The sequence below is a fragment of the Homo sapiens genome, chromosome 10 (assembly GCF_000001405.40).
Source record: "Homo sapiens chromosome 10, GRCh38.p14 Primary Assembly".
Classification (NCBI taxonomy): domain Eukaryota; kingdom Metazoa; phylum Chordata; class Mammalia; order Primates; family Hominidae; genus Homo; species Homo sapiens.
In genome coordinates this window covers 35455918-35469113 of record NC_000010.11, presented here as the reverse complement: position 1 = coordinate 35469113, position 13196 = coordinate 35455918, and the positions used below count along the sequence as shown (strand labels likewise).

Genomic DNA, 13196 nt, shown 5'->3' with positions numbered 1-13196 from the left:
GGGTTCACACCAGTGATCTGGCATAATAAAGAATTCTAACCCCCTTTACTCTCAGAAGTATCTTGGTTTGAAGACACTATTATTTTAACGTTCCTGCAGGACAGGATATAACACAGGAGTTGGAACTGACACTTTTACATATAGCTAGAACCCTCAGAGAGCTATGATCTTAGCAAAAACCTGAATTAAGAAAAAGTATCTATGAACCCAAATGAAAAGGAGGCTGGGCTGGCAGGGGGAGCAACTGCCCAATCTCCCAGCAACTGGTAACTGTCAGTCTGTCTGTATCTCTAATGTGGTTTTTGACATTCTACTTTATACATGTAGCCCAGAAAACTCCTGGAAAAGAAATTCACACCAAATTGGCCAAATTATAAACCACTCTAAAGCAGGCTGTCTCCCAGAATTCCACCAGATTATGTCCTCCGATGACAGGCTCACCATCTAAAATGGCAACACACAGGAGGAAAAAATAGTCTCATGACTCTTGAGCAAGAGTCAAGAAACTCAAAAATATCAAGATCAGACCCTCAAAAACTTGAGATAATAAAACTAACTAAAGACCATAGAATGAATTTGTGCACAGTGGTGAAAAACAAAATAAATTTTAAAATAAGGGGGAAAAGATACTCTGAAAAAAATAAAAGGGAGTTTTAAAAAAGAACCATGTTTGTAGGATTCACATAGAGACACACACATATACACACACGTCTATACATGCATGCAAACACAATCACTACAGACTGAATATTTGTGTCCCCCCAAAATTCATACGTTAAATCCTAGCTCCCAGTGTGACAGTATTTGGAGGTGGCACCTCTGGGAGGTGATTGGGTCATGAGGGCAGAGCCCTCACGAATGCGATTAGCGCCCTTATGAAAGAGGCCCCAGAGAGTTTCCTTGCCCCTTTTGCCATGTGAGGTTACACCAAAAAGAAGATGGTCATCTATGAACCGGGAAGCTGACCTTCACCAGATACCAAATCTGCCAGCACCTTGATCTTGAATCTACCAGCTTCCTGAACTGTAAGGAATACATTTCTACGGCTTATAAGCTACTCAGTCTATAATATTTTGTTATAGCAGCCCAAATGGCTAACATGGTCAATGAAATCTACAATTCAATAGATGAGTTAAACTGCAGGTTAGATATTCCTGAATGTAGAACTGGTGACCTGAAAAACAGATCTGAGGAAATCACTTAGAATGGAGCACAGAGAACAGAGTTAGGCATTGTATAGAATGAACTAAGTCCAACTAACAGGGGCTCTACATTCCATAACCACCTAGGATAAAAACTCTCAGCAAATCTTAATCTGATAAAGGCTATCTGCCAAAAACTTACAGCAATCTGTATACTTAACGGTGAAACATCAGACACATTTCTCAAGTCAGGAATGAAACTGGGATCCACCTACTATCAACATTGTATTGGGGGCCCTAGTCAATGCAAAACAACAAGTAAACGTAACATACAAGGAATTTATTGAAATGGAAAGAAACAAAATTATTGTTATTTGCATATAATCCTCTACACAGAAAATATAAGATGGTTTAAAAATCTATTGGTGCTAGACACAAACTGACATATAGAAATCAATTTCATTCCTTTATCCCAGCAATAGTGCTCAACTAAAGGAGCAATGTCATCCTCTTCACCCTAGGGGGTATTCAGCAATGTGTGGAGTTGTCACATGTCAAGTGGCTGCTATTTTTCCACACCAGTGTCCCACACAATGAGAAACTGTACCTCCCAAGGCCAACAGGGTATTCACTGAGAACACTATGGCCCAGAGCAATAAACAATTAGCATACTAATAATGACAATAAAAAATAATCCATTTACTAAGCAATACAAACAAAACATCATTAAATTTAACAAAAGATGTGTAAAGACCTTATATAGATTATAAAAAGCCAAAATACATCTATAATGTATAGAAATACATTCTACTCACGTATATACTCATCTGTACATACAATTATTCACACCTAAACATACCCTGCCCTGTGTCAAGCCATGGGGTGCATGCTGAGCTGGGCACACAGCAGTAAACACAACAGGTATGGCCCCTGCTCACAGAATTATCAATCCTTTTGGAAAGTTTAAAGATTATCACTGTCTGGTCACAGTTCATTTTACAACCTACTTTCATTTTAAGATTTAAAATTCAATTAGCTGGGCATGCTGGTGCAGGCGTCTAGTCCCAACTACTAGGGAGGCTGGGGCAGGAGGATCGCTTGACCCCATGAGTTCAAGGCTGCAGTGGGCTGTGGCTGTGCCACCACATTCCAGCCTGGGTGACAGAGCGAGACCCTGTCTCTATTTAAAAAACACCACAAAACCAAACCTTAAAATTTAGTTGCGGCTTTGCCAGGAACCTTGCTTCACCCTAACACTGCTCCCTTTTGAGCACTCTACTGCTCACTGCCACATTCACCAGAGGCCAGGTAAGGAAAACCATAAAGAGGGTTACGGAAAGTCCAGGTGAGGGTGAGGGACAGCGGGAGCAACAGGATAAATGCTAGTGCCTGTTCCCTTCTGTGTGAGGCTTGATAGAAGCACAGGCACAGGCGGACACACCTGAGAACTCTCTCCAATTCACAACACTGGGACTGGCAAGCTCTCGCTAGCTGCCATACCTGATCATCACCCCTACAGAGCTGGCCTGCTCCTCCAGTCTGGCCTTGTTTCCCGTATCTCTTCACCGCACACTTTCTGCTCCAGCAACTTTGCCACCACACAATCTTCTTTCAGTTTTTCCCAGGCTTGACCAGGCCAGCCCCTCTGCCCTGAATATCCTCTCTAGGGGAAGCCACTGGCTCTCACCTCAAGTGTCAGGCAAACTCCTAAGCCCTGGAAGCCTTCCTGACCCTCCTAGGCTCACTTCCGTGCCTCTCTCCCACTCCCACCAAGCCTGGTACATGCCTGTGTACTTCTTATATCCCTATAACCACTGGTTTGAATGTGTGCCCCCCATACCCCCAAAATGTGTGCTGACTACAGAAATGAGCCGGTAAATTAGTTAAAATGTCTTCTATATGCCACTAAGGAATGGAACTGAATGGACTGCAGAGAGGTATTTCAGATCCAGTCCTCGCTCTCAAGGAGCTTCTTTCCACAGCAAACACAGACACACACACACACACACAGACACACACACACACACACACACTCTCTCTCTCTCTCTCTCTCTCTCTCTCTCTCTTCCCCCTACCCTGCTGATAATCCTGAAGCAAGGCAGAATGCAGTAAGGATCACACATACAGCAATGATAGGCAGTGCTCCAAGTCTAACTGGTGGAGAGATGACTGCACAGAGCAGGTGAGATTTCGACGGGCCTCACGCAGAGCTGGATTTTTATTTGGAGGACTGCTCAGAGGAGGTGCATCTCAGCTAGAAGGAAGAGGACAGGCCAAAGCACATAACGGACAGAGAAAAGCTTATTAGGGAACTGCCAGTAGACACGCAAGGCAAGACAGTTGAAGAAGAAAAGCTGTGGGTAAGGAAAGCATGCAAGGTGGATTCAGGCCACCTTGGAAAGCCCTGGGTGCCAGAACAAGAAGTTGTACTTTTCCTGAGGACAGAGGGACAAACCACTGATGACATCTCAACAGTTCAAATTTGACTGCTGGTGTTTATGTTTAGAAGGATATTCATTAAAAGAAAATGTGAAGGTGAAGTGACAAGTTTAAATTCAGAGAAAGGAGAAGAGAAAAATCATGTATCAGAGAAATATACGTGACGACCTCACTGGGTCCTAGGACGATCAGAGCAACAATGCTGGTTAAAACTATCGGTGCTCGGACCCCAGCACAAAGGCAGGGGCGGGGCGGGGAGGGGCCATCGGTCAGTGAAATCAGTACCACATTAGGACACGAACAGTACTCGCCCTACCATGCATAAAGTCCAAATGTTCAACAGTCATTAACAAATAAGCTGAATAATGAAAGGAACATAAAAGAATGATCAAATGAAATACCTCTTCTCAACAACTTAAGGAAAGAAAAGGAAAAACTGGCAAGGACCAACCATTAACTCAAATGCAAATGAACTCAAAGAAAGAATCTCCTAGCAACCAGCCTCTCCTGAGAGGCATGAATTAGCACTATCAATGGAACGGGAAAAATACCACTTGGATTGCTGATATTTTAATACCCAGCAAATGACTAGGTCTTTTAACTATGGGGCAATATTTATGAAATCTGCTGTTGCAGACAGCTGAAAAGCATATGAAATGACAACACCCTGAAAGCTAGAAAAAAGGCATTTGAGTCCACTATCATTACTCCATTAAACACTCAACAAATATTTATGGAGAATCAACTCGATGTAGGTGTTCCTTAAGAGAAACACGATGGTGAGGCCCTGTGGCCCCCAGGGTTAAAGGCTGGGGGTGGGGCATGAGGCAGACAAGTCAGAGGCTTTTGCCCCAGGTAAGTGCCTCCAGGAAGAATGGGTTAGTTACCCAGGCTAACAAGGGAGCAGGCGAAGGGCATAAGAAGCAAAGTACACCAAAGACACAAGGGTTAATTTAAAAAAAAAAAAAAGCATACTGGGCATTTGAGACGCACCATAAGAAGGGGGAAGCAGTGAGAAAAAATTGGTGAAGGAGTCTGGATTTTTATCCCCAGAGAACCAGGGAGTTACTGAAGGAGTGGAGTGACCAGACCAAATACACACTTTAAAAACACCATTATGACCGCACGCTGGTGAAAAAAATGAGCCCAAGGAGTAAAAGTTGTCAGTTGGGAGCTGTGGTCATCATCCACGTGGGAAAGGGGTTGGAAAAAGTAGATGGATTTGAAGATCTGGAGGAGACGGGATGCACCTGGTAAGTAATGAAAGCTGGAACATGAGGACAAGGAGGCAGATGAGAGTGACAAGCAGTGGTTGACAATGGGGCCATGCACTGGGCTAAGGCACAGAGGAGGGAGCTGGAAGACCCAGTTCGGCGGTGGATATGCTGCTGGGTTTAACCTATCTGTGGGATAACCACAGCCCATCAATCCAATTAAGCCCCATCCACTGACAGCTGTGCCAAATGCCTGACACCGCTCCTCTTTCCCATTTCCTAGAACCTTTTCCTCCAGGCTCAGTAAGATAAAGATAGCCTGTTACCATCTCCAGCTCTAGAGGCAGCAGCTTCCTGCACCTTCTCTGCCCACTGTTACTCTGAAGCTTTAATGCTGGCCAGGCAGGACCTTCCATAATGCAGCTTCTTTGCTGATGATCAGGAAGTAGGTCAATGTCATAAACTTACTTCCCAAATCCAGTTAACAAGTGGTTACTTTCAAGCAAATGATGGTGTAAATTTCAAGCTCTGGAAGTATTTATCATTTGCCTACATCCATAAATTACTGTCAGAGCCTTTGATTTCTTTGCCTCTTCCTTTCTCTCCAAGTTGAGGATGTGCTGCCAAATTTAATAATGAGTTTTAAAACAATTTCCATAAATCTTTTTTTAAAGTTCTGCCTGACAGTTGTTTCCTAAAGTGTTGGTATATGATGTCATTTGTTATCAAATTGTAATCTCTTAGCTTCATTGACTCTTTTTCCTTTTAAACTTGGTGCTTCCAGAGTTTCACTATTTATTACCTTCCACGAGCTTATGCTGCTTTAGAGTTCAGTCACCAAAACATCCTTGACTCTTCCTTCTGTCAGATTCAGTAACTTATATACATATATGCATATACTCTGGATCACCTGAGTTAGCATATTCTACGTCCATTGTTACTGAGGTAACAGATGCTTTCTGAACGTTAACTCTGTGGGTAACCAAGAACACAGGAAGAAACTAATGTTTAGTAAGCATCTACCATGTGCCAGACATGTTTATTTAATCCTCACAGACACTCTCTAAAACAGACATTACTAATCCTATTTTTTAGATGAATAAGGAGAACCAGATAAGGTAAATCATACAAAGTCAGACTCCTAGCACATAGCACAACTATGGTTCCACATCTAGCACATCTGAATGCAGAACCCTAGCTTGAATCCCTCTAGTGAAAGAAGTCACTTCCTTAGAAGCCATGAAGATCAGGAACCTCCATCTGCCAAAAGGCAGTGTCAAGGAGACACACCTTCACTTTCAGTGTACAGAACCTCCATTTACCAGCAGTTTATACTTTCCAAAAGTGCCGCTGCAACCATTTCCCCAAATATCTCTAACTAAGGCCTAACGTAGCTGATACACAATACAATGCTGGGAATGCCAAGATCCCATTGTCCTCTGCTCTGCCTTCCTCACAGCACAGCAGTGCACCCTGCAGAGGCGCTCAATGGAAAGAGCCCTCCTGACAGGGGCACCACCCACACTGAGATCTGGGACACAACTTGTGCAGGCTGTGGGTAGAGGGACGGCTAGTGTTTCTGACCTGGAGTGGTGGGCAGCTTTCCAATCCAGCACCAGCCCCTCTGCTCTGGAATGACCCCTCCACCCGCACACTCTGAGAAGCTGTCACAGAGAGCAGCTGCAGCAGCAGTGAGTGCAAATAAGCAAATAAGACAGGTCCTGGCAGAGAGGTCCTTGCCCTCTGTGTTTCTGAAAGTTCAATCGCTTCCTGTTAGGTTCAGAGTAAGGCTCTTGGTTCCAGCCTCAGCATGGTCTCACTGTCTAGCTAGTTCACCATGGTTTCCTGATTTTCAGAAGAGGATCTTCTCAGATCATAATGGCAAAGCAATACCAGAAGGGTGAGATGAGGGTGAAGATGCAGAGATGCTAAGTGCAGGAAATCTCAAGGAGCAAAATACAGGAGAAAGGGAGCGGATACACTATCCAGTGGCAAGACGGGGTCCTTCTGCCACTGGTGAGCCAGGACTACCGCCATTCCTAAAGAGGCATCAAAACGAGCTCCACCTAACATGGCTGCTTTGAAGAAACACTGTTTCTGTGGATGCAAAGGTGTCACAATGTTACTTTAGTGAAAAACATCAATTTTATTATATTGTGGTAATATTCACATTTAATCATCAAAATTCCTATTTAATCCACTTCCAGAGGTTTATGGCTGACATGTAAAGACTTGATTTTCTAGAGTTAGGATCAAACTCCAGTACTGAATTGAGTGCCTTAGAGTGTGGCCACCATTGAAGCAAATGCCTGGAGATTAGAGGAGCCTGGAATATAACTATATTGAGTGTAAGGAGAGGTGCAAAGAGTGGGATGTGCCGGGAGAAAAAAAAACAGAAAATCCACAGAGAGATTTATTTATGCATTTACGTATGCAGGCTGGACTCAATAACATCAGGGACAAATGAAGATGCTAACACTGAGATACCTCAATAACAAATCAGACATTTCCACTTTCAAACACAAAATCATTCAGTAGACCAAGGGCCCATACTTTGCCATGAATAATACACATAGAAGCCATGAACACTAGAAAAAGGGCAGCAAAAGAGACCTTGGGTTCAAATTTTCATCAAGTGGTCCCAAGTATTCTGAAAAAGATCCCCAAGATGCTGGGGGATGACTCTAAAGAAAGAGTCTTTGCTTGGCCAAGCTTTGGTCGGGTTTCTGAACCTTCTCCTGGGCCCAACTGTGCACTTCCTTATAAACTCCACTTTTAGCAAAGCACCCTGCTAAGTCAGATTAGCAAGAACCCCTGACCCTCGACATCTAATCAAGCTCCTTGTCCTTGATCACCCTCAGGTGATCCTCCCTGTCTGCCTTCAGCAAGAATCCTGTCAGACTGATTTAGCCAGAATTCTCCTTACTCCTGATGTTTCCTCTTAGTAATTTTCCATTCACTAACCACATCCCTTGCTCCTTGGCCATAAATTCCCACTTGCCCATGCTATATTTAGACTTGAACCTAATCTCTTTCCCCCATCACAAAACCCCATTGCTGCAGTCCCTCTACCTATCGAGATGGTCCTTAGTCAAGTTTGCCTTACTGTGCTTTAACAAGACTCATGGAATAATTTTCTCTTTAACACAACCAAACCTCAGGCACAGGATATGGAAAGTGTCATCCTTCAGATCCCCCACTTGCTTCCATAAACAGGAGACCTTCAGCCAGCCCAGTGGTGGGCCTGGGAGCTGTCCATGCCATCGTCTCCTATTTCAGGCCAGCTGGGTGGATCATCAGCCCCTCCCACCCCTGCCCACTGCTCCCCACTCTTCACATCCCTCCCTCAGTTTATAATAAGTGGATGTCCTAGCCCAACCTCCACATACAAGTTCCTTTGATTACAAATACTGTATCCTGTTCATCTTAGACACAGTACAGTGCTTGGCATGGAGCATCACTTATCATCCATGCTCTATAAATGACTGAGTAACAAATAAAACAAGAGAACCTGGGCTAATGAAAGGAGGAAATAACTGAGTGAGGAGTATTATGATACTGTGCCGTGCCATAGGTACTGTGCTGCCACATTCAGGACACTTTAGAAAACCTTATGCAACAGAATAGATAACACATTAAATATGTTCCACGAACATTTCATGCTGATTATTTCCTCTGAGCTCCTGCTAAAGGTATTTTCTTTTTTCTCTTCCATTTGTTCAAATCATATTTATAATAACAGTAGCTTGATGCTTACTGAATGAATGTTATGTGCCAGGCACTGTATCCAGGCATTTCACCTACATAAATTCCAATTTCCACAAAACCTTGAAACTTCTAATAATTATCCTGTGTGTGTGTGTGTGTACATATACAATTCTTCTTCTTCCAATGTGGCCCAGGGAAGCCAAAAGATTGGACACCCATGGTGTAGATGAATGAAGTGATGCTTCTTCCTAGGTATGATGACACTGTTTCAACAAGGTGGGACCCTGAGGGCCAGGGGGCATCACCACTGTGTTTCTCTTATGCAATGCCTACAGTGAGTTGATTCTCAATAACTAAATAGAGATATACGAGAGAGAGAGATTTTTTAAAAGAGGCTCAGAGATGTTAAAGAACATTACTAAGTTCACACAGCTGCCAAGCGGCAGGGAGACACTAGGTCAGGGATATCAGGGAGCTCTACCTGAAACAAAGGCCATTCTTTCCCATGACACCATGCTACCTCACCAAGGAAGAGATGCTGTTAACATCCCCTGCTATTCCACTAGCATGCAATGGAGGTCTTCACAGCTTTTGTATCTGATTTCCAGGCTATCAGATGTTGTTTTAGGCTGCATTTATATCTACCTCAGCCAGTAATCCTTTTTTTCCCTTCCTTTTAATTAGCAAGGGACTGGAAGATCAGTTAGCTGTACTTGTTAGTCCTGGTATAAAGTACTCCCTCCAAGTATGTATTCCCCCCAAGTACCCAACACAAGGAGAGCCCCAAGCAGGTGCTCATCCAGTGCACATCTGATTAAGTAACAGGTATAATAATTATCTGCCCATTCCTCAACCTCCAGGCAAGTCATGATGGTGCAATGAGAGTATGCTCTACAGGGGCTGAGCTGGTGGAGGAGGTGGAACCCGCTACTACTAACCTAGGAGGAGTTCTGAGAAAACTCTGCATCCCCTACCACATTACTTCCTTTGTTTATACCCCTATAAGACAGGGTCCCACCTTGTCAAAACAGGGTGCAGCCCTGTCAAAACAGTGTCATCATGCCTGGGAAGAAGCGTCACTTCATTAGTCTACACAAGGGATGTCCAATCTTTTGGTTTCCCTGGGCCACAATGGAAGAAAAAGAATTGTCTTGGGCCACACATAAAATACAGTAACACTAACAATAGTTGATGAGCAAAAAACAAAACACAAAATGCAAAAAAAGGTCATAATGTTTCAAGAAAGTTTACAAATTTGTGTTGGGCTGCACTCCTGGGCCACATGCGGCCTGCAGGCTGCAGGCTGGACAAGCTTGGTCTATCTACACCTTTGGAAGAGATTCTGTGGCCTCTCAGACAGCAGCGCTGGCCCGGGAGCCTCTTGACTCTCAGCTCTGCCTCTCACGGTGTATCTGCATCACTCCAGATTCAACTAAGAAATCCCATCTGAACAGATTTCCATCTATTTTTACCCTCTTCTGAACTAAAGCTTCATTTTAATCATCAGTTAAAATAAGCTTTTTTACAAAATATGACGTGGGCTTCCCTCCACATGCTAAGCAGAATTTGTTCTCTTCTCTGTGGCTCAGCCTTGAGGTCCTCAGCTGATAGAAGTAGCTTCTGCTTCTCAGGTTTGGTCTTTCTGTCCCCTGCCTCCCTATCTGCCCCTCACTCTCCCTTCCATTTTCTGCTCTGAATCAACTAAGGGCTGAGAAAGGACACTCTCTCGTTCTTTAGAAGTGAATGCAAAGAGGAGCCTGAAGGATCCACCTTGGGAAACAAAGAGCCTTGGTTCCCTGAAAGGGGAAAGACCTGTGATAAAAACGCATGGGCAGGCGTGGGAGCAGTGGTTAAGAGTTTCAGTGCACACAATTCAGGACGGGCTTGGCTCACACCCTCACATGTCCCTGGCATTCTACACAGCTGAGGCTACAGATGCGGAAGGTAAGATTACAGTACTTATTTTGCTTGTCATCTGTCTCTTCCCTCCTCCCACACTGGAATGTAATTTCTGAGGAAAGGGACCGTCTCCTTTGTTCACTGCAAAATCCTCAGTGCCTAAGAGAAAACGCTGGTCAGAAGCTAACCCAGAATGGGAATACTAAGGTGCCACCCTAACCCCGCAACCAGATTCTCAATAAATATTTATTGAATGAGGAATTACTGAATAACATTTCTTATTAAAATTCCTCTTCTATAAACAATATCCTCAGTTCAGAATCTTTACAAACTCTGTATGGGCTGGAACAAGTAAACTGAAAAAAGAGAATTCCAACAAACTGTGGATGCAGGGAGAAAGCTGAGATTCTCTCCACCCTTGGAAGAGGGAAAGGGCCAAGTCATCACATCAACACGTTACAGCTATGCTGCCTTAGGGATCAGCAACTCTGAGGTGCAATGGGTGGGGTCCTTGGGACACTGACATACCCCCAAAGCCCAGTTCCTCTACAGCAGTCAAGCACAAGTATGCAGAAACAGCTTGTAGGAAAACACAAAACACCACTTTTTCCCCCTTTCAGGGAGGAAGGTACTGCTTCCAATTTTCTTTTAAACAAAGAACACGTACATAACATGTCCTGTTCCACATCTTCCCCAACTCAAAAAACAAGGGAGAAGAGAAACCAAAAAGAGGAATAGTTAAAACAACAGAAGGAAAAAAATTCAGAAAGAATCCAACTCATATTTCTGCATTCATGATTTCCCTATAAGAGAATTTAAAAATACAAGTATGGGCTGGGCATGGTGGCTCACGCCTGTAATCCCAGCACTTTGAGAGGCCGAGGCGGGTGGATCACGAGGTCAGATCAAGACCATCCTGGCTAACACGGTGAAACCCTGGTTCTACTAAAAATACAAAAAAAAATTAGCCGGGTGTGGTGGCAGGCGCCTGTAGTCCCAGCTACTCGGGGAGCTGAGGCAGGAGAATGGTGTGAACCTGGGAGGTGAAGCTTGCATTGAGCCGAGACTGTGCCACTGCACTCCAGCTTGGGCGACAGAGTGAGACTCCATCTCAAAAAAAAAAAAATACATCTATGAATTTGGGTTACAGTAGAGTAACTGTGCAGGATCCAACATGGAGATTAAACATATAAATCTGTTTTATGGTACCATTGCAACTGATTTCAAGTAAGGTGCATCTTCTGTCCAGACACAGGAAACACGGAGGGGCAAGGCCTCCCTGGGCTGAGTTCTGCCCATCCAGCAAGAAAGGACGGGCAGGTGTACACACGAGAGAGACCTGTGGACAATATGACCACAAGTAAGAAAGGCAGCACCAGGCTGCGACGGGACTGAAGCAAGGCAGTCATCTGCGGAGACTTTAATGAGGGTGCCATCCTCACTAAAGAGGGAGATTTAGATTGAAAAGAATCAACACTGAAATCACGGCTACATAATCAGAAATTAGCTCAAACAGAATGAAAAGGAGAAAGCACATGAAGAAACTAAGTAAGATTTTTAAAGGTTATACATCAAACATGAAAAAGAACATGTAATTCAGGACAAATACAGTGGAACCAATCTGTAACAAAACTTTGATTGGATGGCTAAACCAAAATGTGAATACTAAGGTAGTTTCCCCCCCGCATTTTCAGAGGAGAATAAAGAGCTGGTTCACTACTTGAATCACATGGCATAATATTAACATGTGACAGAGAAAGCAGAACAATTCAACCTCTTTTTATAGCCATGGATATCCCACAGACTCTTTATTTTTTTGATCCGTGAATGGTGTTCTAGGCCACGTCTCTGATTCCTGACGGCCAAGTTCACAGGCATATCTGCAAGTAAGATAATCACCTACAGTATTTTCCTTTCAGACCTGATATATATTTTAAGGGAAAAAAAATCTAAAATGTATTTCCTACTTCATTCTATAACTTTAAACTGCCCTTCAAACATTCTGGTTCTTGAGAAAGTAGAAAGGCAATATCATAGCCTCTGAGGGTCACCTCAGACACAAGGAAATGTGATGCATAACTAATGATAAAATTTGAGATGCCACTATCAAGGCAGAGCGGTTCTGAATTTAATCAAGTCTGTCGAGCTTTGGAAGGATGGATAATAGGCAACCAGATGGACAAGATTTGCATTCAGAAAAGCTACCCTGGAAGATACAAATGAATGTGCCTCCGAATCCTGTGCAATCAATGATCTGCTGCCCAGCTTAATAAAACCTGAATTAAAACAATCACAAAACCAAAAATGTTTAAACAATCCATTTCACTTATACAGCTGAATCAATAATAAGGCAATTAGCCCAGCACAACAGAAGCTCCATTCTCTTTCTTTTTTGTTCCATGTGAGTGCTCAAGAAGCACATGGCTGCCACATCCAGCTCTGGTCTCAGCTATACTGAGGGAGACAGACACAGAGATGCAATGGGAGCAAGAAGACAGGAAGTATCTCTCCATAACACTGGTGAATGGTGAACACAACTTTACAACCTTGAACACATGTGTGAGTGCAATTACACACACACCAGTACATACAATTGTCACTCTCCTGCAAAACCTGAGCCATTAAGACATGGGGAAAAACATGAGCAGAAAAATACTGGGCTGTGATACTGCAGCAAGGTACCTAAAGTTGACTATTTTAAGTCATCATCACTATAAAAGAAAAATAAAGCTGGGCATGGTGGCTCATGCCTGTAATCCCAACACTTTGGGATGCTAAGGTGGGAGGACTGCTT

At 43.5% G+C, this 13196-nt stretch overlaps 1 protein-coding gene across 5 annotated transcripts in view, besides 3 other annotated features; it reads right to left on the bottom strand.

The window, feature by feature from the left end:
• The window catches only part of CCNY (cyclin Y), a 325643-nt gene that overhangs the window by 103554 nt on the left and 208893 nt on the right, over positions 1-13196 (bottom strand). The gene's annotated exons all lie outside the window — the stretch shown is intronic.
• Positions 4932-5432: an enhancer, noted in NCBI's record as "H3K4me1 hESC enhancer chr10:35752610-35753110 (GRCh37/hg19 assembly coordinates)". NCBI's record gives its function as "activates a minimal SCP1, AML or CMV promoter by ChIP-STARR-seq in primed H9 embryonic stem cells {active_cell/tissue: H9 hESC(primed)}" and the evidence as "EXISTENCE:reporter gene assay evidence [ECO:0000049][PMID:30033119]".
• Positions 5857-6399: an enhancer, noted in NCBI's record as "NANOG-H3K27ac-H3K4me1 hESC enhancer chr10:35751643-35752185 (GRCh37/hg19 assembly coordinates)". NCBI's record gives its function as "activates a minimal SCP1, AML or CMV promoter by ChIP-STARR-seq in primed H9 embryonic stem cells {active_cell/tissue: H9 hESC(primed)}" and the evidence as "EXISTENCE:reporter gene assay evidence [ECO:0000049][PMID:30033119]".
• Positions 6400-6944: an enhancer, noted in NCBI's record as "NANOG-H3K27ac-H3K4me1 hESC enhancer chr10:35751098-35751642 (GRCh37/hg19 assembly coordinates)". NCBI's record gives its function as "activates a minimal SCP1, AML or CMV promoter by ChIP-STARR-seq in primed H9 embryonic stem cells {active_cell/tissue: H9 hESC(primed)}" and the evidence as "EXISTENCE:reporter gene assay evidence [ECO:0000049][PMID:30033119]".